This window comes from Homo sapiens, chromosome 15 (genome assembly GCF_000001405.40).
Source record: "Homo sapiens chromosome 15, GRCh38.p14 Primary Assembly".
Classification (NCBI taxonomy): Eukaryota; Metazoa; Chordata; class Mammalia; order Primates; family Hominidae; genus Homo; species Homo sapiens.
The window spans coordinates 86,571,203-86,591,515 of NC_000015.10; the positions used below are offsets into that span (position 1 = coordinate 86,571,203).

General features: G+C 41.2%; 1 protein-coding gene across 5 annotated transcripts in view, besides 3 other annotated features; it reads left to right on the forward strand.

Moving 5' to 3' along the window:
- AGBL1 (AGBL carboxypeptidase 1) overlaps window positions 1-20,313 on the forward strand; it is a 951,857-nt gene that overhangs the window by 491,583 nt on the left and 439,961 nt on the right. The window lies entirely within an intron of this gene.
- Window positions 694-1,323: an enhancer, noted in NCBI's record as "H3K27ac-H3K4me1 hESC enhancer chr15:87115127-87115756 (GRCh37/hg19 assembly coordinates)". NCBI's record gives its function as "activates a minimal SCP1, AML or CMV promoter by ChIP-STARR-seq in naive H9 embryonic stem cells {active_cell/tissue: H9 hESC(naive)}" and the evidence as "EXISTENCE:reporter gene assay evidence [ECO:0000049][PMID:30033119]".
- Window positions 1,324-1,952: an enhancer, noted in NCBI's record as "H3K27ac-H3K4me1 hESC enhancer chr15:87115757-87116385 (GRCh37/hg19 assembly coordinates)". NCBI's record gives its function as "activates a minimal SCP1, AML or CMV promoter by ChIP-STARR-seq in naive H9 embryonic stem cells {active_cell/tissue: H9 hESC(naive)}" and the evidence as "EXISTENCE:reporter gene assay evidence [ECO:0000049][PMID:30033119]".
- Window positions 18,982-19,711: an enhancer, noted in NCBI's record as "OCT4-NANOG hESC enhancer chr15:87133415-87134144 (GRCh37/hg19 assembly coordinates)". NCBI's record gives its function as "activates a minimal SCP1, AML or CMV promoter by ChIP-STARR-seq in naive H9 embryonic stem cells {active_cell/tissue: H9 hESC(naive)}" and the evidence as "EXISTENCE:reporter gene assay evidence [ECO:0000049][PMID:30033119]".

The window sequence follows — 20,313 nt, forward strand, 5'->3', positions numbered from 1 at the left end:
CCCAGGTCTGAGATCCCTGAAGGGCCACAGCTCTTCTCTTCTGCTCTTCACTCCCAACATGGCAAGCAAGGGGCATGTTTCAACCCTGTTTGTGTTACAGATCTTTCAGCCTCACCATTCAGCAGGTCCCGAGTTCTTGTTTTGCATCCAGGAAGAATGAGGTTCACAGACAAGTGGAGGATGAGCAAGATGAAGAGGAGCGTTATTGAGCAATGGAATAGCTCAGAGGGCCCACAGTAGGCAGCTCCTCTCCATAGTCAGGGTGTCCCAACAAGTGTGCAGCTCTTAGTAGAGAGGGTACTTGCTCTCTGCAGCTGGTTGTCCCATTGTTTCTTCAGCTCACAGCAAAGAGGGTGGTTCCTCTCTGCTAGGCAGGTCATCCTGATGAGTGTCCAGCTCTCAGCAGAGAAGGTAATTCTTCTCTGCAGCTGGTCATCCCTTCATCTCCCCCTTGTTTCCTATCCTCTCTGTCCTCTGCTCAAGTCAAGGGATGGGGTGTTTATTGGCCTCAGAGGGGAGGAAGCGGGTGCTGATTGATCCATGAGCAGCCATGGGTGGGCCCAGGCAAAAGCACCACAAGCTCCCCCTCTGGTCTGGGGGTCTCGTGGCCCAGCCCCCAGGCTTCAGGCCCTCCCTGGCTTAAAGGTGGGGCTTCACTAGGGACCTGCCTCCTTCGCCCAGGAAACTGCCTCCTGCCGCTGTTCTCCACACCCAGGCTGTTCATGCTAAGGGAAGCCTGAAGGCCAGCATCAGCTGTCCTCAGCACCCCCTTAGCCTCCCTCCCATGCTTGTTGGTGCACAAAGTCCTGAGGGGGCCAAGCCGGCAGGCGTCTGGCATGTCAGCTCTACCCCGACTGTGTGCATATCTGGCCAGGCTGTGACATTGCCCAGGCTCAGCCCTGACTTTACTCTGAGATTGGAGTGGGCGTTGACAGCGGGGAGAAGGCAGGCAGTGGGAGCAGGCACTTCCGGGCCCGCAGGGGGAAGTGCCGGCTCCCTTCCTGGGCCCCCAAGAACAGAGATGCCCGGGTCCTGAGCCATGGCAGGGAGGCTGCAGCTGCACCTGTGGAGCTCCCGCTCTGCCAAATCAGAAGGGGCGAGGCTCTCACTTGTCCCTGGTTCCCGCTGGCTCCATGGAGTGTGCAGCCCAGACCACACCTCCTTGCAGTCTGGGGTGGGGGCTCCAGGTCCTCGCTGGGTCCCCCTCTGAGAGTTCCTCTGTACCATACCGTGCTGCTCTCCTGACGGCTGGCAGCTCAGCCCGGCCCCATCGTGGCAGTTGCCGGGGTGGCAGGCTCCAGGAGGCTCCCAGAGGCAGGCTCTGGAGACTGTCCGCCTCCTGCCTGCACCGTTCCCGCAGTGGTGGTTGGTGAGAGCAGCAACATGGGGACAGGGGCCAGAGCTGCGGAGGCTCTGGGCCTAGGAGTGGGTCCTGCCCAGTCACGCAATGTTGGGGGCGGTGCAGTCGGCTGCCTCAGGGTACAGGGCACAGGAGTCCGACCATCGCCACAGCTGCTCCCGCAGCTTCTCCAGCTGCCACCGCCTGCGCTTCGCTGCTTCAGCCAGCATGATGGCAGTGGCTGCTCTGGACGGCCCGCCCCTGCCATCAGTGTGGCACTGCTGCCTGGAATTTTCTATTCTCCTGTGACTGCCCTGTATTATTTCTGTCTCACTGTAAGAGGCCAATGACGGTTCAAGTCTTCAACATTCTTCACCATTTCTGCAATCTAATAGAGCAGCCTTAAGAATCATCTCTATTTCTAACAGTAAGCAATAATTCTGTTTATATGCTTGTGTTCCCTAAATGTAAATGAGAACTTTTTAGAATACCTTGAATCCTGTTGTTGGAAGCCAATAATTAGAGGTTTTTATATAAATGTTTGTTTCATCAATTAGTCAACATATATTTACTAGTTATCTACTTTGTTTTAAGCTGAAGTTTGTGACTGGGTTTATGTATATACAACTAAAAGCACATAACCAAGGGCAGATAATAGCCATTTCATCTACATTCTTCATTCATTCTTTCTTGCATTATCCATTCAAGAAACGTTTTTCTTTTTAAATCCTGCAATATGTTAAGTGCCAAGAATATGACAGGGAGTAGAACTGACAACTTCCATGTCTTCTACAGTTTATAGTCCAGCCACAAAGGCAGATAATTAAGTAAGCAATAACAGCAGAGTATGGAAAGAAGTGGGTGCCATAAGAGAACACAGAAGAAGGAGATGATGATTTAGGCTTCCGGAAATGTTGGTTGTGTATGTGTGTGTGTATGAAACTGGAAAAGGTAACATCTGGTAAAATAGAAGATAATTCTTTGAAAGTAGGGCAGGGTCAGGAAGTCCTTGATTTTTCTTTTATCCTAGTTGTCTTTCATCCTACTTCCTCCTCCTTTCGTATTCTAATCTCCCCATAGAACTGCATGCTAGGGTATGCATCCTGCTGGATCTGAGTCCACTGGAGTATGTAAGAACATGATCCTCCTCCTTATTCCAACATGCCCTCTTTAGGAGCATGCTGAAATGTACTGCTGGTATTTCTATGAAGCTTATAATTAACTACACCTCCCCGAAGGCAGACAGAATCGGAAAGATACAAAATGTTTCAAACTCCTCAGACTGATAAAGAGTAGTAAAATTTAAATAGGGCCCATCTTAATTATTTTGTTCCAAATGAAATTCTGGCTATCTACCCCCAAGTATTCCTGAAAACAACAAAAATCACAATAATAAAAATACTTTCCCTTTTCAAAATGATGTATAGTTTACAAAACATTTTCATAAACTTTATTTTCTCAGATAAGCCAGAAAACTACCAGCGACCAAACAAATAAACAAACAAACAAAAAAAAACCATAAAAGTGAGAGACAGGGCAATGGAAAGGAATGCAGAGTGTTGCATTGCTGCAATGGTCAAAGCAGTCAAGGAGGTCCACTCAGCTATGTGGGCTATTGCTGGATAGGCTGTACATAGTTGAAAAGGAAGGCGAGAGCATTTATCTGCATGCTGTGCACCACCCTACCTTCCTGTTTCCTGTTAGTCCAAGTGTGTACCCAGAAGGTTAAACTGACATGTTCAGGTTGCACCATCTGGTCCCTTCTGCAGCCACTCATCCAAGTCCAGAAATGGTGGGAGAAGCCAGAAACTTGAGGTGGAAGGATGGTTGGCTTTGCTCTCTAGTAGCAGCAAAGAAGAAGGTCCTTTTAGGAATTTGACTGGTCAGTCCCAAGGGGTGCAACAAGGGCCCAACAAGAACTGGTGGCACCTAAGGCAAAGTTCACAACTGGGGATCCAGGAGCTGACATATCTGAAGGAATCTAAGGAGATACATAACATATGTTCTATACAATTCTTAAAAGTTTTAATTTTTTTTTTTTTTTTTTTTTTTTGTGATGAGGTTTAGCTCTTGTCACCCAGGCTGGAGTGCGATGGTGTGATCTCGGCTTACTGCAATCTCCACCTCCCAGGTTCAAGCGATTCTTCTGCCTCAGTCTCCTGAGTACCTGGGACTACAGGCAAGCACCACCACTCCTAGCTAATTTTTGTATTTTTAGTAGAGACGGGGTTTCACCATGTTGGCCAGGCTGGTCTCGAACTCCTGACCTCAAGTGACCTACCGTCCTTGGCCTCCCAAAGTGCTGGGATTATAGATGTGAGCCACTGCACCTGGCCCTAATGTTTTTAATTATAAAAGTGATTGCATGGCTGGGCGTGGTGACTCACACCTGTAATCCCAGCACTTTGGGAGGCTGAGGCAGGTGAATCAGAGGGTCAGGAGTTTGAGACCAGCCTAACCAATATGGTGAAACCCCATCTCTACTAAAAATACAAAAATTAGCTGGGCATGGTGGCAGGTGCCTGCAGTCCCAGCTACTTGGGAGGCTGAGGCAGGAGAATCGCTTGAACCTGGGAGGTGGAGGTGACCGTGAGCCAAGATCACACCACTGCACTCCTGCCTGGGTGACAGAGGGAGACTCTGTCTCAAAAGAAAGAAAAAAGTTATTGCACATGGGCTGGGTGTGGTGGTGCATGTCTGTAATTTCAACACTTTGGGAGGCTGAGGCAGGAGGTTCGCTTGAGCCTAGGAAGTCAGGACCAGCCTGGGCAACATAGTGAGACCTTGTCTCTATCAAAAAATCAAAAAATTAGCTAGGTGTGGTTGGACCCACCTGAGGTTTTGGCTACAAGGGAGGCTGAGGCAGGAGGATCACTTGAGCCTGGGAAGTTGAGGCTGCAGTGAGCCATGTTTGTGCCATTGTAGTCCAGTTTGGGTAACAGAGAAAGACCCTGTCTCAAAAAAATAAGTAAATAAATAAATAAAAATTTGAAAATAAAAGCTAAAGCACAAACTAGCCATATTCAAATTTTAAAATTCATGAACTTAAAAAAAAATTATTTTTAGAGACAAGATCTCTCTCTGTCACCCAGGCTGGAGTGTAGTAGTACAAATCATGGCTCACTGCAGTCTTGACTTCCTGGGCTCAAGTGATCCTCCTGCCTCAGCCTTCTAAGCGACTGGGCCTACAGGTACACACCACCACATCTGGCTTATTTATTGAAAAAAAAATTTCTATAGAGACAGGGTCTTGGTATGTTGCCTAGGCTGATCTCAAACTCTTCAGCTCAAGCAGTCCTCCCACCTTGGCCTCTCAAATTGCTTGGATTACGTCTTGAGCCACCATGATGGGCCTTCATGACCTTTGACTCTGAAATCTTCCAGAAATTTAATTCCAGAACTACACAAACATACATATACAAGAAAGTCATTGCTTGTTAGTGATAACAATGTGCAAACAAGCTTAACTCCCATAAGTAGAAAATTAGTGAAATAAACAATTGTCTGAACATTGGATGACTCAGAAGGAAGAAGATAATTAATATTTACATGGACTTTAGCATTTCTGCATGCTAACTCCATCATTTATTGACTGCACTTTGGGTAAATTATTTATGCTTTTAAAATTTTTAGTGTAGTCATCAGAAAGAAAAGGGGGCTAATGATTGTACCTCCTGCAGAGTACATGTATATAAAGCACTTAGAGTGTTGTTAAAAGAAAAACATCAGACAAATTAAATTTAGTAAAATTTAATTGAGAGAAAAACGATTTGGGAATTGGGCAGCCTCCAAACCAGAATGGATTCGGAGAGACTTCAGCACAGGCACTGTCACTGAAAAAAAAATTATGGACAGAAAAAGGAGATGTACAGAAAATGGAAGTGAGGTACAGAAACAGCTGGATTGGTTATAGCTTGGTGTTTGCCTTATTTGAACATGGTTTGAACAGTTGGCTGCCTTTGATTGGCCGAAACCAGCCAAAGTGACTGACACAAGAGTAAGTTACAGTCTCTTTACACATCCAGTTAGGTTACAGTTCACTATATACAAAGAGGTCTTTAGGCTGCACTTGAAATACCTAAGGAGGCAGTGATATAGTTTGGCTGTGTCCTCACCCAAATCTCACCTTGAATTCCCATGTGTTGTGGGAGGGACTTGATAGAAGGTAATTGAATCATAGGGACAGGTTTGTCCCATGCTGTTCTTGTGATAGTGAGTAAGTCTTATGAGATCTGATGGTTATCGTAAGGAGGAGTTTCCTTGCACAAGCCCTCTCTCTTTTTGCCTGCTGCCATCCATGTATGACATGACTTGCTGCTCCTTGCTTTCCACCATGGTTGTAAAGCCTCCTCAGCCATGTGGTAACCGTAAGTCCAATAAACCTCTTTCTTTTGTAAATTGCCCAGTCTTGGATATGTCTTAATCAGCAGCATGAAATTGTACAGTAGATTGGTACCAGGAATAGGATTCTGCTGAAAAGATACCCAAAAATGTGGAAGTGACTTTGGAACTGGGTAACAGGCAGGGGTTGGAACATTTTGGAGGGTTCAGAAGAAGACAGGAAAATGTGGGAAACTATGGAACTTCCTATGGACTTGTTGAATAGGTTTGCCCAAATGCTTATAGTGATATGGACAATGAAGTCCAGGTTAAGGTGGTCTCACATGGAGATGAGGACCTTGTTGTGAACTGGAGCAAAAGTGACTCTTGTTATGTTTTAGCGAAGAGACTGGTGGCATTTTTCCCCTGCCCTAGTGATTTGTGGAACTTTCAACTTGAGAGAGGTAATTTAGGGTATGTGGTGGAAGAAATTTCCAAGCAGCAAAGCATTCAAGAGGTGACTTGGGTGCTGTTAAAGACATTCAGTTTTAAAAGGGAAACAGAGCATAAAAATTTGGAAAATTTTCAGCCTGACAATGTGATAGAAAAGAAAATCTTATTTTCTGAGGTGAAATTCAAGACAGCTGAAGAAATTTGCATAAGTAACAAGGAACCAAATGTTAATCCCCAAGACAATGGGGAAAATGTCTCCAGGGCATGTCAGAGGTTGTCATGGTAGCCTCTCCTGTCATTGGCCTGGAGATCTGAGGGGAAAAAGTGGTTTAATGGACCAGGTGGGCCCAGGGTCCCCGTGCTGTGTGTAGCTATGGACGTGGTGCCCTGTGTCCCAGTCACTCCAGCTGTGGCTGAAAGGGGCCAACATAGAGCTCGGGCCATGGCTTCAGAGGGTGCAAGCCCCAAGCCTTGGCAGCTTCCACGTGGTGTTGAGCCTGTGAGTGCACAGAAGTCAAGAACTGGGGGTTTGGGAACCTCCGCCTAGATTTCAGAAGATGTATGGAAATGCCTGGATGCCCAGGTAGAAGTTTGCTGCAGGGGCAGGGCTCTCATGGAAAACTTCTGCTAGGGTAGTGTGGAAGGGAAATGTTGGGTTGGAACCCCCACACAGAGTCCCTACTGGGGCACTGCCTAGTAAAGCTGTGAGAAGAGGGCCACCGTCCTCCAGACCCCAGAATGGTAGATCCACTGACAGCTTGCACCGTGTGCCTGGAAAAGCCACAGACACTCAACACCAGCCTGTGAAAGCAGCCAGAAGGGAGGCTGTACCCTGCAGAGCCGTAAGTGCAGAGCTGCCCAAGACCATGGAAACGCACCTCTTGCATCAGCATGATGTGGATGTGAGACATGGAGTCAAAGGAGATCATTTTGGAACTTTAAGATTTGACTGCTCTGCTGGATTTCAGACTTGCATGGGGGATGTAGCCCCTTCATTTTGGCCAATTTCTCCCATTTAGAATGGCTATATTTACCCAATGCCTGTATCCCCATTATATCTAGGAGGTAACTAACTTGCTTTTGATTTTACTGGCTCATAGCCAGAAGGGACTTGCCTTGTCTCAGATGAGACTTCGGACTGTGGACTTTTGAGTTAATGCAGAAATGAGTTAAGACTTTGGGGGACTGTTAGGAAGGCATGATTGGTTTTGAAATGTGAGGACATGAGATTTGGGAGGGGCCAAGTGTGGAATGATATGGTTTGGCTGTATCCCCATGCATATCTCATGTTGAATTCCCACATGTTTTGGAAGGGACCCAGTGGGAGGTAATTGAATTGTGGGGGCAGGTTTTCCTGTGCTGTTCTTGTGATAGTGAGTAAGTCTCATGAGATCTGATGGTTATTATAAGGGGGTGTCCCTACACGAGCTCTCTCTTTTTGCCTCTTGCCATCCATGTAAGACGTGACTTGCGGCTCCTTGCCTTTCACCATGACTGTGAAGCCTCCCAGCCATGTGGAACTGTAAGTCCAACAAACCTCTTTCTTTTGAAATTGCTCAGTCTCGGGTATGTCTTTATCAGCAGCATGAAAACGGACTAATACAGGCAGCTTTAGGCTAAACTTAATTTAGCAGTGTCTGACACAAAATACTAGCTAATCCTCATTTTCACCATCATCATAATCCTTTCATCTTGCTTGCATATTGTTATACCCAGCCTAGGGTATAACAAAAGACTTTTGTAAAAGCCTAGATGTGAAAACCTAGATGAAAAATATTTCAGTGGCGTCCTAAATGCTTGACAAGTAGTCAGTAGTGTTCTTCAATTATACTGCTTTGTCTTATATTGATGAAATTTTCAGATGTCAAAAAGCTGGGACAAGCAGTTATTGCATTACGTTGCAAATTTTGTGTCTAAAAAGATCTTAGCAAAATGGAATCCTGGGCAAAATCTCAAAAGAGGAACTTAAAATGGCTAATTGGGAAGTCTTGAATTTGGTTAAAACAAAAAGGCATCACTGAACTGCAAGATTTATAACAAATATTTAGAGATTTTACTTTTAATGTAATATGAATTAAATGTGAATTATGACTGTTAAAAACGTGAATGTGATATTAGATTATGTTAAAATTATCATAGTGACTAAAATGAGGAAGCTGATATTTCTACTTTCTCCACGTAAGTCTCAATGCACTGAGAAAAATGTGTTCCATGCAAAAATGTAACTTGATTTTTGGGCACTTATTGGGGAATTGTAGCAGAAGTAAGCAATGGTCAGAAAAAAAGAGCCTTATGAGCCATCCTAAGGGGATGGAGTTTATTTCAGACACAGTAAGAATCCATTGATAAGATTTAAAAAGAGGAGTAATGGGATCACAGCTGTCTTTTAACATGTGAATGTTGAATGGGACTTGGGGCAGGGAGACCAGTCAGAAGGCTTTTGTGAAGCCCATGGTTGGAGGGAGGGCAGAAAACAAGATAGACACATGAAGAGATATTCAGGAGGTGCAATTGACCGGACTGGATAATTGGTTGGTTGAGGTGGTGAGGGAGGAAGAAGTGGGAAAAGCCTATGATGACTCCCAGGTTTCTGGACTGTATTTGATACTGGGAATGTAAGAAGGAAAACTGTCTTGTGGGATGTTTGGATGATTATATGCATCAGAAAGTGAAGCATAGGCAGGGGAACTACCAATTTCTTTTGATGTTAAGGAAGAAAAGAAGCTGTGTTTGGCTTGATAGATAAAGTCCATGGCCAATTTCTTCTGTGAAATTCTTGAGTATATAATCAGACCATTAATGGAAGAGAATGTGAAATTGCTGAGTTAACCGTAGGAGGGACTTTCTAACATATACTCATTACTGCTTCAACACAGCTGACCTTATCCATGTTGCAGCCTAATTTAAATTATAATGCTTATTCTTCTGTGCACTCCAAAATTCTGACTATAGTTTTCCTTGTTACTACTAACTTGCTATAAATGCAGATTTGTACTTTTAGTATTGAAAGTATACTTTTGGCTGAAAAAAGGGAGTCTGAGTCAACTTAACTATGTATACATATATATATATTTCTAACTATGTTATAGACAAGCCCAGGGTAAAACAAGCAATATGGACCATAAATGTATGAATTTATTTTTATCATTGTTTTTGTTATTTTGGTATTTTTTTCTAGACTTTGTTACATGCATATTTTTCTAGACTAGTACTCAGTCTGTACATACATTTATGGATCATTAATTTTTTTCCTTTTGTTTTTAGTTGACATAATAATTGTACATATTTAACTGAGTACAGAGTGATATTTGGATACATGTATACAATGTATAATGATCAAGTTAGGGTAATTAGGGCATTCATCACCCCAAACATTTATCATTTTTTTGTTGAGAACATTCATAATCCTCTCTTACTGCTTTTAAACATATACAAGAAATTTTTGTTAACTATATTCACCCTATAGTGCTATGGAACACTAGAACTTAGTCCTCCTATCTAGCTATAATTTTGGAACCACTTATTTTTAATTAATATGATAAGAATTTTCCACATTGCTTTGAAGCCTTCATGCTTCTAATATTTGTATTTTGTTCCAACATTACATTAACTACAGTAAAATTTACTTACAACTGTTAGACATTTTGGTTGCATCCAAATTTTTGCTGTATTGTGCAGCCCTAGAAATAAGATCTTCATATGGAAACTTTCCTTCACTCACTCCAATACTTTGAATTAGTAGATGAGAGTTCCAAAAGGGGAGTTACTAAGTCAAAGTGTTGGAGAAAAATTATGGAACTTGATATTATAAAATATTATTCAACAAATTAAAGCCTGGGTGGTCTTGACTCCTTGCTCATGGTCAACGTGAGAAGTTGTATTTCTACTTGGGCTTTTTAGTTCAACAATATATACGACATTTAAGCTTAATGGAGAGGCAAAAGAAAGGAAGGCAAATTAGGAATAAAATGACCACTTTTATCTTAAACGTTTTTCTCAAGATTTGTCATCTCTTGATTTTGATAGGTCCCTTCTTACTTTCCCCTCCTCCCCCATTGGCTAATGACAAGATCTGGTGGCAACATTTCTTATAAGTTTTCTCATTCAGATAAATTATCATAGAAAGGAATTCAAAGGATGGGTTGTTTATTTTGTTTAGTGCTTATGAAATGATATCCTAAAAGAGGCCATTGCAAAAACCATTATGTTGACTTCCAAATTGGATCATCATTTTATCATTCATTTGAAATCTCATTTACCAGTGGCACCCACTGCCAGTTTCCATAACAAATCAATTTGTGTGTCATAACACTCCTCGGGCACTCTTCAGTCACCCATGAATGGGTTGAGTACAGCTGTCATGAGCAACCCCCAAATGTTACCTAGAAATCAAATCTTCCTCTCCCCCAAATCTCTCTGATATAGCTACTTCCTCACTGGCTCAACATAGGTACAAAAATGAGACCATTTGTAGTCTCGGTCAGGAAATATAAAATAAATTACCAAGGAAGGTGGTGAAATGAAACCAGCCAAACCCCTCTCTTCATCAAGGACATGGGAGATGAGTTTACTTTTGATTATGAGGATCTTATGTAATAATTATGGATATATGACAGGCATGAGATCCTAAAAGTATTACTGAAGCAAGGGTGATCTCTCTGGCTTGGAAAGTTTCTCAACCTCAGCACTTTTGACATTTTGGGCTGGATAATTTTTGGTAGTAGAGGCTGACATTGTAGGATATTTAGCTGCATCCCTGGCCTTTACCCACTAGATGCAGGTAACACCCCTGTAGTTATGACAACCAAAAAATATATCTAGACATTGCCAGTTGTCCCCTTGTAGATCAAAATCACCCATTATTGAGAACCATTGCTTAGTTACAAAGGTTTAGTTTCTCAGGTTCACTCTTTGAGTCTTGGTTTCCTTAGCTGAAAAATCAAAAGAAAGACTTGGTTATCTAAGTTACCCTACAACATTAATGGTATTTGAACATGCCAGGGTCAGGGAAATAGATTTACTGGTCTATATAATCTTTAAAGCCCTAGCCTTTGTAATTCCTGAAGTTTAAAAGTTATTTACACTGTTGGTGGGGCTATAAACACAATGGGAGTTCAACCATTGTGGAAGTCGGTGTGGTGATTCCTCAGGGATCTAGAACTAGAAATAGCATTTGACCCAGCCATCCCATTACTGCGTATATACCCAAAGGTTATAAATCATGCTGCTATAAAGACACATGCACACGTATGTTTATTGAGGCACTATTCACAATAGCAAAGACTTGGAACCAAGCCAAATGTCCAACAATGATAGACTGGATTAAGAAAATGTGGCACATATACACCATGGAATACTATGCAGCCATGAAAAAGGATGAGTTCATGTCCTTTGTAGGGACATGGATGAAGCTGGAAACTATCATTCTCAGCAAACTATCGCAAGGACAAAAAACCAAACACCACATGTTCTCACTCATAGGTGGGAATTGAACAATGAGAACACATGGACACAGGAAGGGGAACATCACACACCGGAGACTGTTGTGGGGTTGGGGGAGGGGGGAGGGATAGCATTAGTAGATATACCTAATGCTAAATGACGAGTTAATGGGTGCAGCACACCAACATGGCACATGTATACATAAGTAACAAACCTGCACATTGTGCACACATACCCTAAAACTTAAAGTATAATAACAATAAAAAAAAGTTATAATATTTTTTGAAATTTTTTTTTTAAAAAACACCATGGTATTATTAGTTGGGGAATGTAAATATGATTAGCTATTATTTTATCTAAGAGGAAAAGTATTTTTAGAGATGAGAATTGGAATTTAAAAAAAAAAATTCAACTTTTATGTTAGAGTCAGGGAGTACATGTGCAGGATTGTTACTTGAGTATATTGAGTGATGCTGAAGTTTGGGGTACAATTCCTCCTGCCACCAAGGTACTGGTACCTAAAATTAGCAGGTATATACCTACTTAGCATACTACCTCATATTAAGTTTCTCAACCCTTGCCCCCTCCCTACCCCTCTCTCCAGTGTCTATTATTGCCATATTTTTATCTATATGTACCCAATGTTTAGTTCCCACTTATAAGTGAGAACATGCAATATTTGATTTTCTGTTCCTGTGTTAATTTGCTTAAGATTGTGGCCTCCAGTTGCATCCATGTTGCTACAGAGGACATGATTTCATCTTTTATGGCTGTGTGGTATTCAATGGTGTATATATGTACATTTCCTTTATCCAGTCCACTGCTGATGGGCGCTTAAGTTGATTCCATATCTTTTCTATTGTGAATCGTGCTACAGTGAATGTGCAACTGCATGTGTCTTTTAGACTGATCATTTTAGAAGGATTTATTTTCTTTTGAGTATGTACCCAGTAATGGAATTGCTGGGTCACACAGTAGTTCTGTTCTAAGTTCTTTGAGAAATCTCCAAACTGCTTTCCCTAGTGGCTGAACTAATTTACATTCCCACCAACAGTGTATAAGCATTCCCATTTCTCCACAGCCTCATCAGCATCTGTTGTTTTTGACATTTAAAATTATAGTTATTCTGACTGGTGTGAGAAGGTATTTCATTATGGTTTTGATTTGCATTTCTCTGATTATTAGTGATGTGGAACGTTTTTTCATGTTTCTTGGCCACTTGTATGTCTTCTTTTGAGAAGTGTCTGTTAATGTCTTTTACCCATTTTTAATGGGGTTATTTTTTTGTTGCTTGTTAGATTAAGTTCCTTGTAAATTCTGGATATTAGACCTTTGTTGGATGCATAGTTTGCAAATACTTTTTGCCATTCCCTAGGTTGTCTGTTGACTCTTTTGATAGTTTCTTTTGCTGTGCAGAAGCTCTTCAGTTTAATTAGGTCCCATTTGTCAGTTTTTGTTTTTGTTGCAATTGCTTTTGAGGACTTGGTCATAAATTCTTTCCCAAGGTCAATGTCCAGAATGATGTTTCCTAGATTATATTCTAGTATTCTTTTAGTTTAAGGTGTTACATTTAAATCTTTTAATCCGTCTTGAGTTAATTTTTGCATATGAGGAAAGGTATGGGTCTAGTTTCATTTTTCTGTATGTGGCGATCCAGGTAGCCCAGCACCATTTATTGAAAAGGGAGTACTTTCCCCATTGCTTGTTTTTGTTGACTTTGTTGAAGATCAGATGGATGTATGTGTGTGACTTTATTCTCAGTTTTCTATTCTGTTCCATTGGTATTTATCTGTTTGTACCAGTACCATGCTGTTTTGGTTACTATAAATTTACAGTACAGTATGAAGTCTGATAATGTGATTCCTCTGGCTTTGTTCTTCTTGCTTAGGATTGCTTGGCTATTTGAGCTCTTTCTTGGTTCCATATGAATTTTAGAATAGGTTTTTTTCTAGCTCTGTGAAAAATGATATTGGTAGTTTGATAGAAATAGCATAGAATATGTTGATTTCTTTGGGCAGCAGGGTCATTTTAACAATATTGATTCTTCCAATCCATGAGTATGGAATGTTTTCCCATTTGTTTGTGTCATCTGTGATTTCTTTCAGCAGTGTTTTGTAGTTCTCCTTATAGAGACCTTTGACTTCCTTGATTAGATCTATTCCTAGTTATTTTATTTTATTTGTGTGACTATTGTAAATGGGATTGTGTTCTTGATTTGGCTCTCAGCTTGAATGTTACTGTTGTATAGAAATGCTACTGATTTTTATACATTGACTTTGTATCCTAAAACTTTACTGAAGTTGCTTATCAATTCCAGAAGTTTTGGTGGAGTATTTAGGGTTTTCTAGACATAGAATCATGCTGTCTATGAAGAGAGATAATTTGACTTCTTCTTTTCCTTTTTGGATGCCTTTTATTTCTTTCTCTTGCCTGATTGCTCTGGCTAGTACTTCCTCAGAACTGGAAGTTTTATTTGTGCAAATGCCCCAGAATTTTGAGATTGGAAGCAGGCTGGAGTGTGATGGAGTCAGAAGATAGAATGCTGGCCAAAGATAAGAGTAAAAAAGGAGCGAAGGTAAAATCAGTAGTTTTCAAGTGTGCAAATACATACAGAACTCCTTTTATTGTTTTCTTTTTATGTATTTATTTATTTAGAGACAGGGTCTCACTGTCTCTGCCCAGGCTGGAGTGCAGTGGTGTGATAATAGCTTATTATAAGCTTGAACTCCCGAGTGGCTGGAAATACAGGTGTGTGCCACGATGCCCAGCTATTTTTTACTTCTATTTTTTTATAGAGATATGTTTCACTATGTTTCCCAGGCTGGTCTTGAACTCCTGTTCTCAGGCAATCCTCCTGCCTCAGCCTCCCAAAGCACTGGGATTAAAGGTATGAGCCATCTTACCTGAGTGAGCTATTTGGACACCACTCCTTTTAAACATAAAATAAACAAAGGGTTAGAGAAAAAATGGTTCAAGGAGTCCAGGAACTGTTTTCTGTTGGAAGGCTCTCTCTGTCATCACTTGGTTATTTAAGTTGCACAGACTGGAGACTAGGTGTGAAATCCAGGAATTGCATTCAAAGTAGATTGAAAGGAATAATTAGCAAATTCATAACAATGGTGAGACAAGGAGCTCAGAGTTCTAGACAGACTGTGAGGATGAAGCAGGAAGAAAATGATTAAGAATACCTAGCCATGCTCCACATTCCACTGCTTTCACTATGACAAGGGCTTTGGTGATGTTCAGTGTCTATTTAGACACACAGGCATGCTGCCTGTCGGCATGCCTCTGCACCGAATAGAACCATGAATTCAGATTCAGCTTCACAGGCAAGAACATTCTCATCTGAGAGATAATGCTTTCTAAAACTGAGTCAGAAAGGAGAAGAGGAAGGAATAATAAATCCCCCTCTCTCTTGCTTACTCTCTCATTCTGTCTCTATCTCTTTCTCTCCTAGCCTGTAATTCTAAGTTATCTAGACAAGGTACTAGGGACACCTGAAAACATTCATAACTGAATGATAACAAGTAATGTTATTTAAGTGTTTGCCATTAGTTTACCTGCTTGGAGTGGCTTTTATAATAAATCGTAATATTTATTAGAACTTACTATGTGTTCTTATGTTTGCATGTGTTGTATTTACTATCAATGTAAACCTATGAGGTAGTTGCTATTTTTATCATATACCTTTTAGGATGAGAAAATTAGGGCAGAGAATAGTCGAGTAACATGTCCAAGGTCACACAGAGCGTAATGATGGCAGAAAACCGAAATTCTGTTAAAATATATAAAGTGTTTTATTCGGAGCCAATGTAAGTGACAGCAGCCCAGGAAAACAGTCTCAAGAGGTCCTGAGAAAGTGCACCTAAAGCAGTCGGGTTACAGTTTGGTTTAATACATTTCAGGAAGATAAGAATTGCAGGTAAAATCATAAATAAATTCCTGGGAGGTATACAATAGTTTGGTCTGAAAAGGCAGGCCATCTCGAAGTGGGAGCTTATAAGTCATAGGAAGGTTTAGGAGTTATTTATTTGGCACTTGGTTGAAAGAGTTAAGCTTTGTTTAAAAACTTGGGGTCAATAGAAAGGAATGCTTAAGTTAAGGGGGGGTCTGTTATTTGTCATGTGATGCCATGTTAGAGTCTGGTTGAAAAGTAGGCCACAATATACTGGGTCAAAAAAGACCTGTTTAATGAGCTTTAAGGGTTTGTGAGGCATGACTCCCCAGGCCCCTTAGAAAGGCATATGAGGAAGTAAAAAGGTCAGAGTCCATTCCTCAGTACCTTTAAAGAGTTCGGACTAGAACCCATCAGATTTGCAACTGAGGCTTCTCTCCTTACTGCTAAATTATTCTGCTTCCCTGAGCACACTGCAGTCATGGTCTTAGCTTACTCCCACCATGAGCTTATGAGCAGGCATTGTTTTTATCTTCCTTCTACAGATGAGGAAACTGAGGCACGGACAGGATGAATACTTTATCTAAAATCAGAAATGAAGTGAGGAATCAGGGATTCAAACTAAGTTGGGTTGCTGTCTCTTTTTCCTCTGACCTCTATGCTCCTTGGCCTCCTCTCAGAGTGCTGCAAGGATATGCAGTACTAAGCAATTGTGCAGCAAGGCAGATGGAATCCGAGCTCACCTGTGGCAGCACCGTTTCAGTGTTTGGAGAAAGATGAGATTATATTTGGTTGCTTGGGGGTTGTTAAAAAGGCTTCATGGAGGGGCTTGTGTTGGCTACGGTTTGGGAAAGTGGGTCTAATTCTATAGGAAGCAAGTGGGAGGAGGGCGTTCGTGGAAGAAGGAGCAGTATAAGCAAAGGCATAAAGGCCAAGTGGCACTGGGTTTGCTGCAGGAAATGTTCAGTTGTCATTCAGTTTAGAGCAGTGAGGGTGTGTACCTTTTAGTATATATTTTCTTTAAAAGTACAGCAATTTAGAGAAACTCAGAAGACAGAAAAAATAAGTTTTGATTAAAGTCAGAGTACCCACATGCAACCGCAGAAAGTGACCAAGACAGGGAAGATGCTGCCATGAGAACCCACGTAGTAATCACACAACAGCTGCTGGGCTGTGTTACATCCAGGGGTGAGAACCATTAGGATCAAAATCACAAAGCAAGTATCATATCACAGTAGGAAGCTTCTAGTTCTTCCCCAGGCTCCAACGACTCACTATGAACCCAGACTTGTCTTTTAGACCCCAACCTGTCTCTGAAAAAGTAACTGCTTTGTATATGTATGCATGTACATGGAAAGGATTACTAATAACTAACATATCTGCTGGCACTATTCTTCATTATTCTAAATATAAACTTATGTAAAGGTATAAGTAATGCTTATGTTTAATTGCACAGTTAGAAAATTACCTGTGGGTTTAAGAATAAAGTTCATGAAGAGAATTTTAAAATTCTGCATTATACCTTCGTTAATACAATATTATGATATTTGAAATCAGGATGAGCCTGGGTTGGCTACTCTACACAGTGTGAATAAATGTGAATGTGAATAAAGAAGTTATATTTAGAGAGCCTTGATCACCTACAGGTCTTATCAAAGACCCTCTTACACAGTTGATCTCCTCCAGTTATCACTGACTGAGAGGATTCAGCCAGTAGTAATTCTACTGTCCTAAACAACGAGATATGCCTCCCCACTCCTGCCCCTACCAGAAGAAAACTTGCAGCAGTAACCATTGAGGACTGGCCTGCCTGCTGTGTCCTGCAAGGGAGAAGTAGCTGCAGGGAGTGCTGGGATCTGTGGGATGTGGCTTTTCAACATTTTTCATAAGGCTGAAGCTCATATGCAGATAGAACTCATTTGCCTGAAGTCAGACACCACGGCAACCACAACCTGATCAAATCCAACCCCTGGAGTGTGTGTCAGGGCCTCTGTGATGGAGCACAGCAGGCTCACCTCTGAAGCAGAGTTTGACTCCGGAATCTTCTGTTTGCAGCATGACTAAGCTTTGTTTTTAGTCTCCCTCTTGGGGAAGAATTAAACCTGACCCTATGAGGAGGCAGCAAGAACTGAACAGAAACCCATATTTATTGATAGTGACTCTTCCTCAGAGGAAACTGAAGCAAGTGTCTTTTGAATTGTGTTAAGCCTTTATTATTTCTTTGATGGCAAATACGTGTTATCAATGTTTATTGAGAAGACTGAGAATATGCTGATCATAAAAGATCTAAAGAATATTAAACATTTCCCGTTCATGTATCTTTCACAATTTTTATTTTTTATGTGTATCTTTTCAGAATCTTCATATATATATATATGTATATATACACTGTGTGCATGGACACAGAAGGACAACAATTTTTTTTAAATATGAATAACTTACGATGGTTGATTTGAAGTCTGTTTTTGGGTATCATTTTAGAACAGAATGAAGTACTCATTACTTAGTGCCGGATGAGATGTCAGAGCCCCGGCATCAGAAAGTGATCAACTCACAGGTTGGTAAGAATTTACTGATAACTCTATAGGTTTGAAAAGGAAATTTTTATTATTATAGATAGAAAGTATACTGCAGAAGAGTGCAGTGGGGCATCTCAGCAAGAGAGGGCTGACCACCCCATGAGGAATTTTTGCTTAGGGGTATTTATGGAACTTAAAGTGGGACCTTAAGGGTAATTTGGATCATGTTAGTCACATAGCCCATGATAAATGGTTAAATTTGTAGACATTTTGTGCCTTAATGGCAGCAAGGGTTGCACAATAAGATTCGATATGCATGCATTCTGGAGATGTATAGAAATTCTAATTACTTATAAACTTTGGGTAGAGAAGCCTGGAACCAGATGCCTATTTTAGATAGAAGGGAAGTCCAATTACTTCAAATTCCTCAGATAAAAAGTTTTGCCTCCGGATGGCTTGCTTGATGATCACCAGTTGATCTTTGCTTTCTTCACTTGGATTTGCCAAATGGTTTGCATTTTGCCCCATTTGTTTTATAATTTTCCTCCTTCCCTTCCTTCCTCCTCCTTTCCTCCCTCCCTCCCATCCTATCTATTAGTCTACTTCTTTATCTAATCTATCATTTCTCTATCTGTCCACACATATTTTTTGTAATCATCTGAGAGTAGTTTGGAGACATCATGTCCTTTTAGTGTATATTTCTGTATGCATTTCCTAAAAACAAGGTTTTAGCTATCTTGTATAGCTACAGTAAAATATATTCTCTACATATTCTCTTACATATGTAGGGGCAAAGGGAAAACTTCCTTTTGCCCTCAGAGGGTTTGTTGAACAATTAACTCACAAAAGGCAGACTCATAAGATAAAAGGAATCCAGTTTATTACTGTGTGCACAGGGAGAACCACAGAGTGATTGGCCTCCCCAGTGGGCTGCAAAAGCTTATTTACCATCTTGAGGCTACACACAGAATGGGAGCTCGGACAATGGCCAAAAATAGGTTGTATTGGTAAAACACATTATGGGAGGGAGAGAAGAGGAGACTTGGTTTGTGATATGGTTTATCTGTGTCCCCACCCAATCTCACCTTGAATTATAGTTCCCATAATCTCCATGTGTCATGGAAGACACCCTGTGGGAGGTAATTGAGTCATGGGGGTGGTTACCCTCATGCTGTTTTCATGAGAGTGAGTTCTCACAAGATCTGATGGTTTTATATGGGGGCTTTTCCCCACTTCACTCTTGTTCTTCTCTGTCCTGCCACTATGTGAAGAAGGACCTGTTTGCTTCTGCTTCAGCCATGATTGTAAGTTTCCTGAGGCCTCCTCAGCCATGCTAAACTGTGAGTCAATGAAACTTCTTTTCTTTATAAATTACCCGGTCTCTGGTATGTCTTTATTAGCAGTGTGAGAACAGACTAATACAGTTTGCAAAGGGGGTCTTGTTATGTAGATGAAACCTCACAGGTAGCAACCCTCAGAGACAATAGATAGTAAATGTTTCCTTGAGACCTTTAAAGGTGTCAGACTCTCAGTTAGTCTTTCTTGGATCCAGACAAGGGAGAAGGCCTGGCAGTATAAATGCAGGTTCCCTACAGATGATGTAAATTTCTCCCAGGAAAGACAGCTTTGCAGAGCTACTTTTATTTGCTGGCTCTCTGACAGCCATCTCAAAATATGTCAAAGAAATATATTCTGGTGTAAAACACTTTTATTTTCCTCACACACTACAATGAAATGACCAAATGAGAAAATATACATTGATACAGTATGATTGTCTAATCCAGAGTTTGTGTTCAACTTTTCTCAGTTGTCCCAATAATGTACGTTATAGCTGTGTTTTCCTTGTCCTGAATCCAGTCTGAGATTCCACTTTAAGTTTAGTTCGCTCTCTAGTTTACTTAATCTAGAATACTTACTCATGATTTATCTCTCTTAACCTTGACGCTTAAAGGTGTCCCTCAATTTGTGTGATTGTTTTCTCATTGTTAGATTCATTTTATGCATCTTTGGTAAGTGTACCTCTGAGGAGAAAAAATACAAACTCAGAGCTTTTTCCTATTCTCTTTCCCAACACAACAATCAATGCAATACTTCTGTGATTACATGAGTAAGGGTTTTTCCACACACACCAACCACTGGACACCTGCTGGATGTCCTCTAATTCAATTCAGTTCTGATGCTATCTACCTACAGATAGTGCCAGATGCCACAGATCAAGGGCTCAGTCCCCAGGAATGCCCTTGGCACTTCCAGACACCAGTCACAAGTTCAGGCTTCCGGAACTTCTGACCCACTGGCTTGAAGTTGGGGTTCCCATGATTACCTCTTTAAATTCAGTTAACTTG